This window comes from Homo sapiens, chromosome 16 (genome assembly GCF_000001405.40).
Source record: "Homo sapiens chromosome 16, GRCh38.p14 Primary Assembly".
In the NCBI taxonomy this organism is placed as follows: Eukaryota; Metazoa; Chordata; class Mammalia; order Primates; family Hominidae; genus Homo; species Homo sapiens.
Window position 1 is genome coordinate 20,741,898 of NC_000016.10, and position 18,866 is coordinate 20,760,763.

The following is an 18,866-nucleotide window of genomic DNA, read 5'->3' on the forward strand; positions in this document are numbered from 1 at the left end:
TGCAATCGTGAAAGGGGTGGAGTGATACCCGCCCAAGCCCCGCCTCCTGCCCCGCCTCCCGACTGCAACCTGAATCCAGTAGAGGCAGCATAGCAGCCATTCTGGAAGTGGTGTCGGTGGCTCCTCAAGCCCTTGAAGCTGGCTCCAGCCATATAGCTTCTTCCACCCAACCTTGGTACCTGTTCCTCCAGCCTTCCCTATAATTCTGCCAGCTACTGTGGAGGAAAAGTTAAATATTAAATTTGAACTCAATTGAACGTGGACACAATGGTCAAGTCCCGTAACAGGTTGCATGAGCCCCTTGAGGCATTCATTCATCCAGCACTGTTACAGATAACTCTGTACCTGTACTTGAGTTATTGAAAAACAGACAATCACAGAAACAAGTTGACCTTTATGTGTTCCTTGAGCCCAGTCGAGAAGGGCCCTCGTGACTGGGCCTCATGCCAATCAACGCATTACAAAAAGAGCCAGGGTCGGCCGGGCACGGTGGCTCACGCCTGTAATCCCAGCACTTTGGGAGGCCAAGGCAGGCAGATCACGAGGTCAGGAGATGGAGACCATCCTGACCAACATCTCTACTAAAATGCAAAAAATTAGCCAGGCGTGGTGGCGCGCACCTGTAGTCCCAACTACTCGGGAGGCTGAGGCAGGGGAATCACTCGAACTCGGGAAGCGGCGGTTGCAGTAAGCCGAGATCGTGCCATTGCACTCCAGCCTGGCAACAAAGCGAGGCTCTGTCTCAAAAAAAAAAAAAAAATGAGCCAGGGTCCCAGGCCACACGGAAGCTTCTTGAGACCCCTCCTCCTCTGTGCACGGACAAGTGGCTGACTCTGGAGCCCAGGCTGTTGCTTCCCGGTCTGGTGATGAATCCAACATAGTCTGGTGCGTGTAAATATATATATATATATATATATTTTTTTTTTTTCCCTTCTCCCCTTCCCATTGCAATTTGCTTACTATATCATTTGCTTATTATATCTGCATTGCCATTTACGTGGGATAAAGGTTGTTTACCCCCAAAGGTATTGTATGTTTGTCTATTTTTTTTTTTTTTTTTTGAGATGGAGTCTCGCTCTGTCGCCCAGGCTGGAGTGCAGTGGTGCGATCTGGGCTCACTGCAAGCTCCGCCTCCCAGGTTCACCCCATTCTCCTGCCTCCCTCCCGAGTAGCTGGGACTACAGGCGCCCGCCACCACGCCCGGCTAATATTTTTTATTTTTAGTAGAGACGGGGTTTTACCGTGTCAGTCAGGATGGTCTCAATCTCCTGACCTCGTGATCCACCCGCCTCGGCCTCCCAAAGTGCTGAGATTACAGGCGTGAGCCACCGCGCCTGGCCGTATTTTGTCTTGTTTTTTCCCCTCGCGCATTTCCCACATAGAACAGTTACTCAAAAGGCTTCCAGTAAATTCCATTTCAGCCTCAATTTTCCAGGCTATGTTTCTATTTCACTTAAAACCAAGGATGTTGGCTGGTGTTGTTTCATGCTGCTTTCGTTGCGGCCTTTTATCCATAGTCTTGGCAACTTATCATGTTACTGTCTTTTTAAAAATCATTGAAGATGCCACTTTTGAAGAATGTGTTTAAAAAACAAGTGCTTCTCATACTACTCTTCAGGTACAAACCTCTTAGCAGATTTGAGTTCCTACAAAGCCCTAAAAGATGTAATCTGATATTTTGAAAGGGACACCGAATTCACAGTCAATAAACCCTAGGTTCTAACCCCAGATCTACCACTATGTCCAAAAATTTTATCATCTTATTGTTTGCTTTTACCTGTGTATTCAATACAGCATTTAATTTTCAGAATTTCTTTGGTGGACACTGCACAGCAGAGATTTCTAGAAGTCCTCAGTTGTTTGTGAAGAGCAGTGTCATGACACTGGCATTGGCCTTCCCCCAAATCTCTCTCTCTTCTGCTGGCTGGGTTTCAGTTGCCCACACTCTGCCACCTGTCCTTAGGATATCAAATATTAGCATACAGATAACAAGTTAAAATATATATATTTCAAGTCCCAAGCATATTTGAGTACTATATGGAGGCAAACTTGAAAAACAAAAACTCAGTTTTGTTAAAATATGTGAGGAGGCAGCTTTAGGCTAAATTTAAGTTTGGCCTAAATCAAGCTTGTCCAACCTGTTGGCCCACAGTCAACATGTGGCCCAGGACAGCTTTGAAATTCAACCGGCCCAACACAAATTAATAAACTTTCTTAAAACACTCTGAGGTTTTTCTGCAATTAAAAAAAATTCATCTGCTATTGTTAGCATTAGTATATTTTATGGGTGGCCCAAGAGGATTCTTCTTCCAAGGAAGCCAAAAGATTGGACATCCCTGGCCTACAGGTTTCTCCATACATAGTGAACTATAACCTAATTGGATGTGTAAACAGACTGTAATGGCTGTTGTAACAAGTAGCCAAATCTCAGCCAAGCACAGAAGCCATGCTCAACCACTCACAGGTGGCTGATTGTTCAAACCATGTTTTTTATTTTTATGTTTTTTGAGACGGAGTCTTGCTGTCGCACAGGATGGAGTGCACTGGTGCAGTCTCGGCTCACTGCAACGTCCACTTACTGGGTTCAAGCGATTCTCCTGCCTCAGCCTCCCAAGTAGCTGGGATTACCTGTGCATGCCACCACGGCCAACTAATTTTTGTATTTTTAGTAGATATGGGGTTTCACCATGTTGGCCAGGCTGATCTTGAACTCCTGACCTCAAGAGATCTGCCCACTTCGCCTCCCAAAGTGCTGGGATTACAGGCATGAGCCACTGCGCCCAGCCAAACCACGTTTAAATAAGGCAAATACTGAGTTGTAACCTATTGGGCTGTTTCTGTACCTTACTTCCATTTCCTGCACCTCACTTTTCTTTTTATGTCCATAAATCATCTCTGACCATGTGGCAGCACCAGGATGTCTCTAAACCTATTCCGGTTAGTGGGTCAGGGGCCTGCCTGATTTGAGAATCCTTCCTTGTGCAATTTAATTCTGTTAAATTTAATTTGTCTAAAGTTTTTTAACAGTTTATTGTATTTCATGGTTGCTGACTGTGCAGAGAATATCCAATGAAGTGAGAAAAATATGCAACCCTGTAGCTCTCAGTCTAGACGTTAGTTATCTAAATCACACACTCATCCTGTGGCAGCTGCCGGGGCTGCGTCCACTTACTTCCTCTTCTGAAACAGGCCCTCGTCCAGCTCTAAATAACTCAGCCTTCATTTATTCCTTATTATTCTTCTTTGTTCTTTTTTGCTTATTCTTTAGACTACATCTATTATTTCATGGCTGTGTGAACTTTCACCTCCTTAGGTTACCTCCCAGACATGGACAATGGCCCAGTGTCTATCCTTAGACACCAGGGACTCTGTCGCTTGAAAACCTCTCTTAGAAGGGACCACTTGGGGCCAGGCACGGTGGCTCACGCTTGTAATCCCAGCACTTTGGGAGGCCAAGGAGGGTAGATCACTTGAGGCCAGTTCAAGACCAGACTGGGTAACATGGCAAAACCCCATCTCTACTAAAAATAAAAAAATTAGTTGGGCATGGTGGTGCATGCCTGTAATCCCAGCTATTTGGGAGGCTAGACACGAGAGTTGCTTGAACCTGGGAGGCAGAGGTTGCAGTGAGCTGAAATCGTGCCACTGCACTCCAGCCTGGGCAAAATAGACTCTGTCTCAAAATAAATAAATAAATAAATAAATAAATAAATAGAGACCACTTGGCACCTTGTGGCACCATCTAGAGTAGATTAAGGTGATCTGAGGATGTTACCTTTTGTTTTAATTAACCTATTTGCTTCAGATATTCAGAAGGCCTCACAGCCAAGCAAGGGGGGAATGGTGTGACACATTCTAGATTCCCTTTCTGTTTCTCTTCCTAACCTTCAAAGTTACTGTCCCTGAAGTTCTACTTGTATGTTCAGTACAGAACCCAGGTAGGAGATGCTCTTAGACACTCCTCGTGTTCTGACCTTGCTCCCCATCCACACTTCCTGCCTTAGTCTCTTGTTACCCAGCATCTTCAGGGAATGGATATCCTGGCTGTGAATCCCAGTCTCCTTCTGACTTGATTCCCAATATCTGCTGCCTTCAGAGTAGGTATCAAGTACGATTAAAAGCCCAGGTTCTAAAGCCAAACCAAGTTCAAATTCTGCTTTGGCCATGACCTGGCTGTGAAACTCTGAGTAAGTTACCCAAGCCAAGGTTTAGATTCCCTGTTAGATTTAAAAATAATAATAATGGAAATAATAATACTCACATCATGGGTTATTAGGAAAATCCAGTAAGATCAGTCATGACAAGTGCTTAGCTCTCAGCCACTGTTCAGTCAACATGTGCTTAAAAACAGCTGCTTTCAGACTCAGTCGTGAATCATGGAAGCCTGTTTTTTTCTTTTTGATGTAAGTATCCATCCCTCAGTCTGATCACCTAACCTCATTATTTGTCTATTATTCTCTAATTTAATGGTTCTTTTATATTTTTGGTTTACTAAAAGCTGTTGAATCCTTTTACTTAGGAGACTAAAAGGGGTTTTATTTTATTGTTCTATAGACCTCCTCTGTGGAAAAGGGGAATTTAAAAGTATATATAGCGTAAAGTAAAATAACATAAAATGCGTAAGACTGGCATGCCTTACCTCTGCCAGCTGGTTTCTGCCTCACATTTGATTGAATGACATCCCACCTTTCACTAGCTTTGTAGCCTCACTGGCAGCACTTGTCACATTTGTGCTTTCATTACACCCAGACGCTGTGTGAGAAACTCACCCAACAGCCTGATCACCCAGGCTGGAACCCAATTTTAAACCAATGTGAACTTGAGTCTGCCCCTAGAGGAGTCAAATTTGGCCTGGCCTTTGTACCTACTCAGCCCTGCTGAGTGTCCTATACTGATCCCCATCACCTCTAATTCATTTCATTCCACCAGTGCCTGGGTCCCAGTTTTGACAGATATGTTTCTCTATGGCAAACTTGGCACTTTGAGGGCCTATGTTCTTAAGGGCAAAAGTCATTAAATCTCTTTCCCTCCAATTTTATCTTTCAATTTTATACTCTAAACATACAAGTCTTTCTTCTTAAACTTTTCCTGGTGTTTTGTGGGTACTTCCTTCCCACTCCTTTGAGATTTGGTTGAATAATCTATGTTCCAAAGTAATTGTTTTGAAGCAGGAGATATAAAAAAAAAAACAAGTTTTCTTGGAGGCTGACTCACTGCAAGGCCCAGCGATAGACAGGGCTCTGGAAGGGCTTTGATAACACTATCTGCAGAGCCAGGGCCCTCAAGGGATGGGTTCCAGAGCCTCTCCCTGCCATCCCAGAGCAGGGATGAGAAAAACAAGTTTTTCTTCTCTTTCAGCTTCCGCCTTCCCCCTTATCATTCTCATAATTATTTTGCAAAGTTTTATAAGTTCCTGTTTTTCCCTTCTGTACAGCATGGCAAGGTCACAAGATATGCTTCAGTTGCAAAACCTGTCACTGTTTAACAAACTGCCTTTGTTCTGCTTCTGTAAGCTGCTTACCCACCCTACAGGTTTCACACCATCAAACTGGCCAACCCCCTTTCAAATTCATGTATAAAAGTCAAGCCCTGTCTTTGTTCAGGGCTCAGCCTTTGGGTGTTAATCCGCTGGGCTGGTGCTCACCTAATAAAATCCTCCTGTCCCACCCATTGGTCTCTCCTGTCCCTTAATTCCTGCAACAGTTTTATTATTTAGTTTTACTTCTTTGAGCACTTCTAGATCATCCGCCTGCTTCTTACTTTCACTTCAGTCAATGCTCCAAAGAATGAATCACCAATGGTGGCATCTCAGTTTAATAAGTTACAGAAAGATAATTCCATTTACCACTCAAATCATGCTATGGACTGCATATTCCACCAATGCAGAACACTAGTCTTGAGTAAAACACTGATATAAGAAATATAAATTTCAGGGTAGGTATAGTGTACATGTAAGAGTCTAGCTGGGCATGATGGCTCACGCCTGTAATCCTAGCATTTTGGGCAGCCAAGGCAGGTGGATCGCTTGAGCTCAGGAGTTCCAGACCAACCTGGGCAACATGGTGAAGCCCCATCTTTACAAAAACTACAAAACTTAGGTGTGGTGGTGCACACCTGTGGTCCCAGCTACTTGGGGGGCTGAGGTGGGAGGATCGTTTGAGCCCAGGAGGTCAAGGCTGCAGTGAGCCATGATCTGACCACTGTACTCCAGCCTGGGGGGACAAAATGAGACCATGTCTCAAAAAATAAATAAATAAATAAATAGATAGATAAATAAATAAATAAACAAAGAGTCTAGGGTAACTGGAGTTTAGAGGTTCTTTCAGTACAAATAAGGCCTAAATAAGAATTATCTACATGAATACTCAGGTTGAATAATTTATATTTAAATGAAAAATTGAAGGGAAGCCACATCCTCAGTAAGAGTACAGCATTCAATGTATAGATGAACAAAGACAAATTGATTAAGAATATATTTTAGGGGTCACACCATCCTGAGTTTAAATACTGAGTCCACCACATTGCTAGTTCTGTGACCTTGGGGAAGTTAATTGTTCTAATCCTCATGTTCCTCATCAGTAAAATGAGAATAGCCACAGCATCTATCTTAAAAGTCATTGTGAGTATTGAATAAAATATTCATGTCAGTTGCACATACAAATATTCAATAAGTGTTCACTGCTGCTGTTTTGTTGTAGCTGTTGCTAACTGGAACGTTTGGTAGAGATAATTTTTACCAAAAAAGTTGAGGTTGAGACTCAGGCTTTTTGTGTTGGTCAGTTTGCTTTGATGTGTTTCCAGCCACTTCTTGCTGGTTCTCAGTACCCCAGAGATAACCTATTATATCTAAACATGTTAATATGAAAAGCTCTGGCTGGAGGCAGTGGCTCACACTTGTAATCCCAGCACTTTGGGAGGCCGAGGCAGACAGATCACTTGAGGTCAGGAGTTCGAGACTAGCCTGGCCAACATGGTGAAACCCCATCTCTACTAAAAATACAAAAATCAGCCATGTGTGGTTGTGGGCACTTGTAACCCCAGCTACTCGGGAGGCTGAAGTAGAAGAATCATTTGAACCCAGGAAATGGAGGTTCAATGAGCCATAATCGCACTCTATGAGCCATTGCACTCTAGCCTGGGTGACAAGAGCGAAACTCCGTCTCCACAAAAAAAGAAAAAAGAAAAGATTTTCAAAGTGAGATATGTGTAATATGAACTAACTTATGTTTTAAAGGGGAATATCTATATATCTATGTGCACATAGATATACACATATGTATATATATGTGTGTTATATTTTAATCCTATATATATATGAAAATGATGGTTAATAAGACCTACTGTTTTTCCACATTTCCCAACTAAAGCCCAAAGATAAGAATGAAGAGACACTAAACCTCTGATTTTTGCATTCTAAAGAGAATTGTCAACAAGGACTAAGTGAAGCATCTCTCTCCAGGTTTGTGAAAAGGTAACTCTACTGGCTCTGCTACCTCTGACCAATTTCCCAGCCTCACCATCCTGCTTCTCAGCTTATGTTAGAAGCCTGGGAAAGGGGAGAAGAGTATTTTCACCCCCTTTGCTGTCAGGGTTACCAAGGGAATCCCCTGTGAAGGTGAGAGGTGGTTCTAAGAAGAGACTGGCATCACATTCCTTGGTTGATATTCCCCTCTGCCTGGCTGAGTGAGAAACTGAGCCAGAAAGAGAAGTAGAGACAGATGGCAAGGCAGAGACAGTAGAGCAGGGGTGGAGGACAGCAGAGGAGAAGCCTGAAGCATAAGATAGGGTGTTGCAAGTATATGTGCATATCTGGTACATCAAATGGATCTTCAGAAGTTGCCTGGGCTTGACCAGGTAGACCCAACAGACAGAGGATGAAAGTCACACCCAGCATAGTAAGCCCTCTAACTCCAATCTTGTTTCCTCGCCCTCAACAATGGAGGCTCCAGAGTGTAAAAGAAGGAGAAGGGAAAGGTGTCAGTGACAAATAAGGCCATGTGTCTCTATTCCAGGTGTCAGAGCCAGAGGAGAAGAGTGGACAACCCAACTGCCCACCACAGGTCCCTAGAAGTACAGGTCAAGCCTATGCTGGGGAGAGGCAAACAGGTACAACATACACTGGGTTTGAGATTTAAATTTCTGAGTGGACCAACTTTTAAAAACTGAAAGTGATTGTGAAATTGTGGAATCATTCCAAAAGGTCATTACATTAAGGGATAATAAAGGGGGAAAACAAAAATTGGGGGAAAAAGTGTTAAGACTTGATTGGAAAACTAGTTACATATATCTATCCCACTTACTCCCTTGAGACTACTCTTTATTTTATATCAATCTGTATCTTTTATTATAACCATATGCGTGTATTATTTTTATATGTTAAAATAGTGTTATTTCTTGATGTAGATGCTTACCAAAGTATTTCTCTTTTCTTCTGGGTCCTCAGATTGGCTAATTTCTCAGGTCCCTGGAAGTGAGGGTGAGGCTATTGAAATGTGGGCAGAAGTGATACATGCTACTTCTAGGCCTAAATTCATGAGATCCTTCATAAATGCATTTCTCTTCCCCTAAACACCCCCCTCTCTCTCGTTTCTTGTCAGCTATCTGATTTCAGAGGATCCAACCAGGACTCAGGCTTAGGGGAGAGCGGGGCCTCTGAATATAAGGATCCTGAGTCTACTACTTAAAGTGACAGCCACCTAGGAAAATCCATTAAGCAAAAAATTCTGCATCAGACTTAAGCCTCTGAGCTTTAGATTTGTTTATTTCTGCAGCCTAGCCTAGCACACCTTGACTAATACACTGGGAATCCAGAGTTTGTTCAGAATGTCTTCACTATTCTTGTTACAACTTTATTGTCCATAGAGATTATAAACACTGTGCTTCAGACAAATTAAGAGAGCAAGAGGCCTCATAATGTAGTAGAGAGAATATAAGTTTTGGAGTCAGGTTTTTTTTTTTTTTTTTTGAAACGGAGTCTTACTCTGTTGCCCAGACTGGAGTGCAGTGGTGCAATCTTGGCTCACTGCAACCTCTGCCTCACAGGTTCAAGCAATTCTCCTACATTAGCCACCCAAGTAGCTGGGATTACAGGCTCACACCACCATGACTGGCTAATTTTTGTATTTTTAGAATCAGGGTTTCACTATGGTGGCCAGGTTGGTCTCAAAATCCGTCTGCCTCAGTCTCCCAAAGTGCTGGGATTACAGGCGTGAGCCACTGTGCCCAGTTGGTGTCAGATTTTGGTAGAAAGCCTAGATCTGTTATTTTCTTGGTAGAATCAGTGGAAAATCCTGAACCAGTGGCCAGCCTTCTGTATTTCTGCTAGAACACCATGAAAAACCTCTTCCCCCTTCCTTACAAAATGTACATGAAACAGAATTCAAGGTCTTCTATCTGTATGTAACTTACAAAATAGTTGACAGTTCTATAAAGCTTTGTCCTTTTTCCTGTTTCTTGTTTCCCTGTAGAACTATTTATAAAAATGTTTTTCTTTTTAAAGGATTTTTTATTGTTGTTTAAAGTATTTGAAAAAAAATTCATAACTTCAAGCTATTTTACATTTAAGAAAAGATGTAGTCAAACTTGGCTGATGAGAGATAGAAACCCAGGAGAAACTGGGAAAATATTCCAGGTGCCTTTTTTCCCCATTTTGACTGACTTATGCCAATTCTATAAAACACTGCTCATCATCCCCCTGCCAAGTGATAGTAGAGCTCAGTGGGGCTCGGAGAAGCCCTGCCATTCTTCCTCTGCTTAGCTGTACCAGAGCTGGTCTATGTGGGAGCCAGGGTCTCTTGGGAAGAAAAGGAATGGAAAGATGGGGTTTCATTACACATCGGTTATGTCACCTTGGCTTCTCCATTCTTCTTCCCTTGGGGGTTTTATGAGAAGGCAAAAATCACATTTAAGGGATATATTGACATGTTCATTGTCAAAATCTTTGCTCCAGCCAAACTGATTCTAGGTATAGTCAAACAACTTGGCATTAAAACAAAAGGACATTAACCTTCTGTCAGAATCACTTTCAAGCTGTGACTTATTTCAAGGTTGTTTTCTCTCTACTAGACTTCGTTTCCTCACATTAAAAAAAATGGATATATAGTACTACTTAGCTTACAGAGCTGCTATGAGAAATAAATGATATGAGCTATCTAAAACACTTGGCATACAGAAAACATTCAACAAGTGAGGCTGAGGCAGGAGAATGGTGTGAACCCGGGAGGCAGAGCTTGCAGTTAGCCGAGACTGCACCACTACTCTCCAGCCTGGGCGACAGAGCGAGACTCTGTCTCACAAAAAAAAAAAGTGGTCATTCTCTTCTACTCAGCCAGGCATGGTAGCTCACACCTGTAATCTCAGCATTCTGGGAGGCCAAGGCCAGAGGATCACTTGAGCCCAGGGTTTTAAGACCAACCTGGGCAACATAGTGAGACTCTGTCTCTCAAAAAAAAAAATTCACTTCTGCTCCGTATAAGGAATGGTCCCAACCCTAGTTGCTGTTCCTTGCCATTGTTTTTCTTGTGGTTGTCTCATGATAAAAGAAAACAGTTGATGGAAAATGATATGTTAGAAGACTCTCTCAAAAGCCTGGTCTTGGCTGGGAACTACATTTATTTATTAGAGTTTTTCTTAAGACAGTTGAATATAAGAATTATTCCAATCACTTATGTCGGAATCCTTCTTAGATAAAGCCTCAGTGGCACTAGGTTACTCCCTAGGATTAAAACTGGGTAGGGGTCGAGGGAGATTAGATTTCAGTTGAGTGCTAGAGAAGAAAACCTGATCTATTTTTAGAGAAAATGGAGATCCCTATGAAATAATAGATATAGATAACAATTATCAATAGCTGCATTAGGTGAAAAGCTGCTGGAAACATAATGAATGGATCAGGTGATGCCTTAACATCACAAAAGGAGAGCCAACACAACATTATGATTCTCCAGATGTGATGCAATAGAATTCTGCAAAGATATTTATGCAATCTTTTTGCTATAAATGGATCTATCCTCTAGATTTAACTATTAGTTTATAGAAACTACACGGGACAGAAAAATATGTTAAACTCAACCACATTGAATTAGCAAAATCAACACTGAATTTGGGAAACTTTAGAGGACAATGCCGTATGTTCTACAATGAATTACAAAGAAAAAGAAGAGAGAGATGGAATTTATAGATTAAAAACTTAAGATATATATCAATAAAATGCAATGTGTTGCCCTTGTTTGGACACTGAGTTGAAAAAAAAAAACAAATGTAAAACAAAATTGAATCTGGAAAAGGCTGGCTGGGTGGGGTGGCTCATACCTGTAATCCCAGCACTTTGGGAGCCGAGGTGGGCAGATCACCTGAGATCAGGAGTTTGAGACCAGCCCGGCCAACATGGTGAAACCCCGTCTCTACTAAAAATACAAAAATTAGCCAGGCATGGTGGCACATGCCTGTAATCCCAGCTACTTGGGAGGCTAAGGCACAGAAATTGCTTGAACCTGGGAGGCAGAGGTTGCAATGAGCTGAGATTGCACCACTGCACTCCAGCCTGGGTGACAGAACGAGACTGTCTCCAAAAAAAAAAAAAAAAAAGAGTGAATCTGGAAACATGAAATTTGAAAAATTATATTAATAGAGGATTATTATGGCTTTTTCAGGTATTAAATGGTATTGTGATTAGGTTTTAAAAGAGTCCTTATCTTTTAGAGATACATAAGGATTTTCCACAATAAGGAAGAAAAAGAGAGACCAAGAGAAGAGGTACAGATATACAGACAGAGAATAAAGAAGTAAAAGCTGCAGATACAGACAACTATTTTTGAGAAATTTTGCTGTAAAAAGGAGACAAGTAATGAAGAGGTGGAGGGAGACAAATGGCCCAAGAAATTTTATTTTCACATGGGAAATATTACCATGTATTTGTGCCTGACTTTGTTTCCCTATTACAACTCTTAAGAAAGAAATGAAAAGAAGAAAGAGAAAGAAAAGAGAGAGAGAGAAAGAAAGAAAGAAAAGAATGAAAGAAAGAAAAAAAAGACAGAGAAAGAAAGAAATTGATGATGCAAGAGAGAGGAAGAATAACTGAGGGAGTAATATCCTGGAGTAAGGGAGAGGGAATGGTGTCAAGTCCACAGTGGAAAAGGTGACCCACGCTAGGACCTTGGACAATTTTTCCATGGTCATTGGAAGGAATGCAGAAAGTATGGGCAGAGTTGTAAGAGTACTGGTTGGTTAACTGGTTAGGGGGAATAAGGACATTCTCTTCTGGCTTTTCTCACTTATAAATCTCAGTGAAATAAGAGGGGAGAAGGAGAGGTACTAGTTTAGAGAAACAGGGGAAGGAGTGAAACAGTTATCTCCAAGTGTAGAAATGTAGTGGGGTTGTCAGAGAGTGAGAACGGCCCACATGAATATTTTGCAGTCAGGAAGTTAAAGTGTGCTAACATAATTAAATAGGAGGCCATTAGACTGAGGTGGCTCTAACACTCAGGGTTCCCACATAAGCAAACTGAAGCCTAACTCAGAATTTAAAATAAAATGAAATATAAGCTCAGCCAGTCACAGGCAGCCAACTGGGCTTTAGTATATTGTCTTGAACTTCCCACCAGAACAGTGCAAATAAGGCAATTGTTCAAACCTTTACCAATCAAGTAATTTCTTTGCTCAGCTTCCACATTCACCCTATAAACACCCTCCCTTTGTGCCCTGCAATAGAGCCCTGAATTACTTCCCATTTGGAGCTGCCTGATTCATGGATCAGTTTGCTCACATGTATGCTTTAAAATTTTAATGTGCCTTAGTCTATCTTGTAACAAGTGTAACCATTGAGTTTAGGACCACCAACAAATACCATGTGCAATTCTCCAGAGCCATATTAAGCTTCTCAAGTGTCACAAATAAGTAGAATTATCTGGAGTTTTGCATAGAGCTGGGTTTTCCCACATGAGTATGGTGGAGGGAGAGCAGTACAAAGAATCTGAATGGCACAGAGAATCCAAGCTGGGCAGAAGATAAGTGAAGGCATGAAGGAGGTGTGCTTAAGTCAATGGACTTAAGATTTTAGAGGGGCAGAGGAATTATTGTGACGAAGGCTGGGGATGGTGTGAGAGAAGGCCAAGCAGGGAACAGGCCAGTGTCCATAGAGACCATGTCGGGAGCTGGAACTCTAGTCCCCACCCAACAATAAGAAGAAGCTCCTTGCAACTCAGGTGTCATCCAAAGCTGGGTAAAGAACCTAGATGTCTATATTCACCTGGCAATAATGAGGTGGTGCCCCTTCCCTGTCCCCTACCTGGGCAGTGTCAAAGCCAGCTAAAATATAAAGTTTAAATAAGGTGCAGAGTCTTATTACAAGAATGTCTGTGTTTGAATTGAAAATCACTCCTCATACCAAAACCAGGAAGAGTTCAAATGAATGAAGAAAGATGATGGATAGATGCTAACACTGAGATGACAGAAATGTTAGAATCATCTGACAAAGATTTTAAAGTAGCCTTGATAAAAATGCTTCAGTGAACAATTAGGTATGCTTGAAATAAATGAAAAAAATATATATCAGCAAAAAATAGAAGATATCAAGAACAACTAAATGAAAATAAATATTAGAACTAAAAAATTCAATGAGAAATCAAAAGCTTGGTGGATGGTATGATACTATAAAATATATATTTCATCTTCATTCCAGTTTCCTGGTACATAGCCGCTAAAACCCCTGGAATTTCTGAAGTGGTAAGTGCTTTTTATTATTATTATTATTATTATTATACTTTAAGTTTTAGGGTACATGTGCACAATGTGCAGGTTAGTTACATATGTATACATGTGCCATGCTGGTGTGTTGCACCCATTAACTCATCATTTAGCATTAGGTATATCTCCTAATGCTATCCCTCCCCCCCCCCCACCCCACAGCAGTCCCCAGAGTGTGATGTTCCCCTTCCTGTGTCCATGTGTTCTCATTGTTCAATTCCCACCTATGAGTGAGAACATGCGGTGTTTGGTTTTTTGTCCTTGCGATAGTTTACTGAGAATGATGACTTCCAATTTCATCCGTGTCCCTACAAAGGACATGAACTCATCATTTTTTATGGCTGCATAGTATTCCATGGTATATATGTACCACATTTTCTTAATCCAGTCTGTCATTGTTGGACATTTGGATTGGTTCCAAGTCTTTGCTATTGTGAATAGTGCCGCAGTAAACATACGTGTGCATGTGTCTTTATAGCAGCATGATTTATGGTCCTTTGGGTATATACCCAGTAATGGGATGGCTGGGTCAAATGGTATTTCTAGTTCTAGATCCCTGAGGAATCGCCACACTGACTTCCACAATGGTTGAACTAGTTTACAGTCCCACCAACAGTGTAAAAGTGTTCCTATTTCTCCACATCCTCTCCAGCACCTGTTATTTCCTGACTTTTTAATGATTGCCATTCTAACTGGTGTGAGATGGTATCTCATTGTGGTTTTGATTTGCATTTCTCTGATGGCCAGTGATGATGAGCATTTTTTCATGTGTCTTTTGGCTGCATAAATGTCTTCTTTTGAGAAGTGTCTGTTCATATCCTTTGCCCACTTTTTGATGGGGTTGTTTGTTTTTTTCTTGTAAATCTGTTTGAGTTCATTGTAGATTCTGGATATTAGCCCTTTGTCAGATGAGTAGGTTGCGAAAATTTTCTCCCATTTTGTAAGTTGCCTTTTCACTCTGATGGTAGTTTCTTTTGCTGTGCAGAAGCTCTTTAGTTTAATTAGATCCCATTTGTCAATGTTGGCTTTTGTTGCCATTGCTTTTGGTGTTTTAGACATGAAATCCTTGCCCATGCCTATGTCCTGAATGGTAATGCCTAGGTTTTCTTCTAGGGTTTTTATGGGTTTAGGTCTAACGTTTAAGTCTTTAATCCAACTTGAATTAATTTTTGTATAATGTGTAAGGAAGGGATCCAGTTTCAGCTTTCTACATATGGCTAGCCAGTTTTCCCAGCACCATTTATTAAATAGGGAATCCTTTCCCCATTGCTTGTTTTTCTCAGGTTTGTCAAAGATCAGATAGTTGTACATATGCGGCGTTATTTCTGAGGGCTCTGTTCTGTTCCATTGATCTATATCTCTGTTTTGGTACCAGTACCATGCTGTTTTGGTTACTGTAGCCTTGTAGTATAGTTTGAAGTCAGGTAGCGTGATGCCTCCAGCTTTGTTCTTTTGGCTTAGGATTGACTTGGTGATGCGGGCTCTTTTTTGGTTCCATATGAACTTTAAAGTAGTTTTTTCCAATTCTGTGCAGAAAGTCACTGGTAGCTTGATGGGGATGGCATTGAATCTATACATTACCTTGGGCAGTATGGCCATTTTCACAATATTGATTCTTCCTACCCATGAGCATGGAATGTTCTTCCATTTGTTTGTATCCTCTTTTATTTCCTTGAGCAGTGGTTTGTAGTTCTCCTTGAAGAGGTCCTTCACGTCCCTTGTAAGTTGGATTCCTAAGTATTTTATTCTCTTTGAAGCAATTGTGAATGGGAGTTCACTCATGATTTGGCTCTCTGTTTGTCTATTATTGGTGTATAAGAATGCTTGTGATTTTTGCACATTGATTTTGTATCCTGAGACTTTGCTGAAGTTGCTTATCAGCTTAAGGAGATTTTGGGCTGAGACAGTGGGGTTTTCTAGATATACAATCATGTCGTCTGCAAACAGGGACAATTTGACTTCCTCTTTTCCTAATTGAATACCCTTTATTTCCTTCTCCTGCCTAATTGCCCTGGCCAGAACTTCCAACACTATGTTGAATAGGAGTGGTGAGAGAGGGCATCCCTGTCTTGTGCCAGTTTTCAAAGGGAATGCTTCCAGTTTTTGCCCATTCAGTATGATACTGGCTGTGGGTTTGTCATAGATAGCTCTTATTATTTTGAGATACGTCCCATCAATACCTAATTTATTGAGAGTTTTTAGCATGAAGGTTGTTGAATTTTGTCAAAGGCCTTTTCTGCATCTATTGAGATAATCATGTGGTTTTTGTCTTTGGTTCTGTTTATATGCTGGATTATATTTATTGATTTGCATATACTGAACCATCCTTGCATCCCAGGGATGAAGCCCACTTGATCATGGTGGATAAGCTTTTTGATGTGCTGCTGGATTCGGTTTGCCAGTATTTTATTGAGGATTTTTGCATCAATGTTCATCAAGGATATTGGTCTAAAATTCTCTTTTTTGGTTGTGTCTCTGCCCGGCTTTGGTATCAGGATGATGTTGGCCTCATAAAATGAGTTAGGGAGGATTCCCTCTTTTTCTATTGTTGGAATAGTTTCAGAAGGAATGGTACCAGTTCCTCCTTGTACCTCTGGTAGAATTCGGCTGTGAATCCATCTGGTCCTGGATTCTTTTTGGTTGGTAAGCTATTGATTATTGCCACAATTTCAGATCCTGTTATTGGTCTATTCAGAGATTCAACTTCTTCCTGGTTTAGCCTTCGGAGAGTGTATGTGTCGAGGAATTTCTCCATTTCTTCTAGATTTTCTAGTTTATTTGCGTAGAGGTGTTTGTAGTATTCTCTGATGGTAGTTTGTATTTCTGTGGGATCGGTGGTGATATCCCCTTTATCATTTTTTATTGTGTCTATTTGATTCTTCTCTCTTTTTTTATTAGTCTTGCTAGCGGTCTATCAATTTTGTTGATCCTTTCAAAAAACCAGCTCCTGGATTCATTAATTTTTTGAAGGGTCTTTTGTGTCTCTATTTCCTTCAGTTCTGCTCGATTTTAGTTATTTCTTGCCTTCTGCTAGCTTTTGAATGTGTTTGCTCTTGCTTTTCTAGTTCTTTTAATTGTGATGTTAGGGTGTCAATTTTGGATCTTTCCTGCTTTCTCTTGTGGGCATTTAGTGCTATAAATTTCCCTCTACACACTGCTTTGAATGTGTCCCAGAGATTCTGGTATGTTGTGTTTTTGTTCTCGTTGGTTTCAAAGAACATCTTTATTTCTGCCTTCATTTCATTATGTACCCAGTAGTCATTCAGGAGCAGGTTGTTCAGTTTCCATGTAGTTGAGCGGTTTTGAGTGAGTTTCTTAATCCTGAGTTCTAGTTTGATTGCACTGTGGTCTGAGAGACAGTTTGTTATAATTTCTGTTCTTTTACATTTGCTGAAGAGAGCTTTTTTGTATGCTAGTGAGATGACTAGGGGTTAGGGGTTCAGGATGAGGGCTGGTTGCCAGGAGAACCAACCTTGTGATTAGAGGGTTAGAACTTTCTCTCCCACCCCACCACCACGCCACTTCCCATCCCCCTACCTCTTGGGAGGAAAGAAGGGCTGAAGGTTGAGTTAATTACCAATGACCAATGATTTAATCAGTCAGGCCTGTGTAATGAAGCCTCTAAGAAACCCAAAAGGGGCTGGGTGTGGTGGCTCACGCCTGTAATCCCAGCACTTTGGGAGGCTGAGGTGGGCGGATCATGAGGTCAGGAGATCGAGACCATCTTGGCTAACACACGGTGAAACCCCGTCTCTACTAAAAATACAAAAAAATTAGCCAAGTGTGGTGGTGGGCACCTGTAGTCCCAGCTACTCAGGAGGCTGAGGCAGGAGAATGGTGTAAACCTGGGAGGTGGAGCTTGCAGTGAGCCGAGATCACGCCACTGCACTCCAGCCTGGGTGACACAGCAAGACTCCATCTCAAAAAAAAAAAAAAAAAAAGGGCTGGGTTCAGGGAGCTTCTGGGTAGATGAGCATGAGGAAGTTCTAGGAGGGTAGAACATCTGGTGAGGACATGGAAGCTCTGTACCCCTTCTCCCACACCTCGCCCTATGCATCTCTTTAATCTGGCTGTTCATCTGTATCCTTTGTAATATCCTTTATAATAAATGGGTTGATGTAAGTGTTGCCCTTTGTTCTATGAATAGTTCTAGCAAATTAATTGAACTCAAGGAGAGGGGTTAGAAGTACAGATTACAACCTTGAATCTTATGACACTTGAAGTGGGGGGCAGTCTTGTGGGACTTGTAAATCAAAAATAAAATTCTAAGCCCCCAAACTGACTGAATTGACCCTCCTTTTGACCAAGAGGACCCAAGGAAATCTGAAAAATTAGGCCATGATGGAAAGCCAGTAGGGGCAGCTACAGGGGGTGGCGGGGACAGACATGCCTCATTATACTCTTCCCTTTTGGAGTTCAAGCACAACTGACCAACATTAACATTGAAACAGTGATCTTAAAACTGACAAAACAGACTCTTTGTAGCAATAAGATCCAAATTCTAAAATGACTCTAGTACAGCATCATATAACAGATAGCAGGCCCTGAAGAAAATCAAAGTCTTTTACCCCAAAATATATTTCTTTGACACATTTTGAAATGGCCCTGCAAAGCTGTCTCTTGTGGGGAAAAGCTGCATTCTGTAGGAAAATCTCCTTCCTTTGTTGCGGGACAATCAAAGACTGGAGAGACTGAAAAAGGTTCAGGAGAGTTTATTAAGGTGATCACAGGCTCAGCCAGACATACATCCAGAAAGTCTGAGCCCCAAACTAAAGGCTTTCCTACTTTTAAACATCTTAAGGCAGGAACCATGTGAGGCAGGAAGTAAGTTACGGAAGAGAGAAACAAAGGCAGTTAATCAAGCATTACAACATTTCTTACATCTTGAGAAAAACATGTCTTCCAACCTAAACTTATCGGTCTTGTGACCCTGAAGCCATGCTAGGGAGGTAAGCAGGAACTCACTGAGCCTGTAATAAACTTTGATGAATGTGGAGTTGGGGAATATAGATAAGGTCCACTGACCACAGAGAGAAGACAGGCTGTTAATATTCTCTTTTAACTTAAGTATAACTCAAGTTAAAGTTGCAGCAACTTTAAGAGGATTTAAAAATTTCTGTTACCAC

General features: G+C 41.4%; 1 protein-coding gene across 25 annotated transcripts in view; it reads left to right on the plus strand.

The window, feature by feature from the left end:
• The window catches only part of ACSM3 (acyl-CoA synthetase medium chain family member 3), a 123,177-nt gene that overhangs the window by 67,493 nt on the left and 36,818 nt on the right, over positions 1-18,866 (plus strand). For 16 of the 25 annotated variants that reach the window (XM_047434437.1, XM_047434427.1, XM_024450368.2 and 13 more), the window contains 3 exons: positions 7,368-7,471; positions 8,013-8,106; positions 13,676-13,719. The gene's annotated coding sequence lies outside the window, so the exon portion shown is untranslated. Of the gene's footprint in view, positions 1-7; positions 886-7,367; positions 7,472-8,012; positions 8,107-13,675; positions 13,720-18,866 lie in introns of those variants that run through there. The other 9 variants (XM_047434439.1, XM_047434440.1, XM_047434429.1 and 6 more) reach the window with 5 other exon arrangements.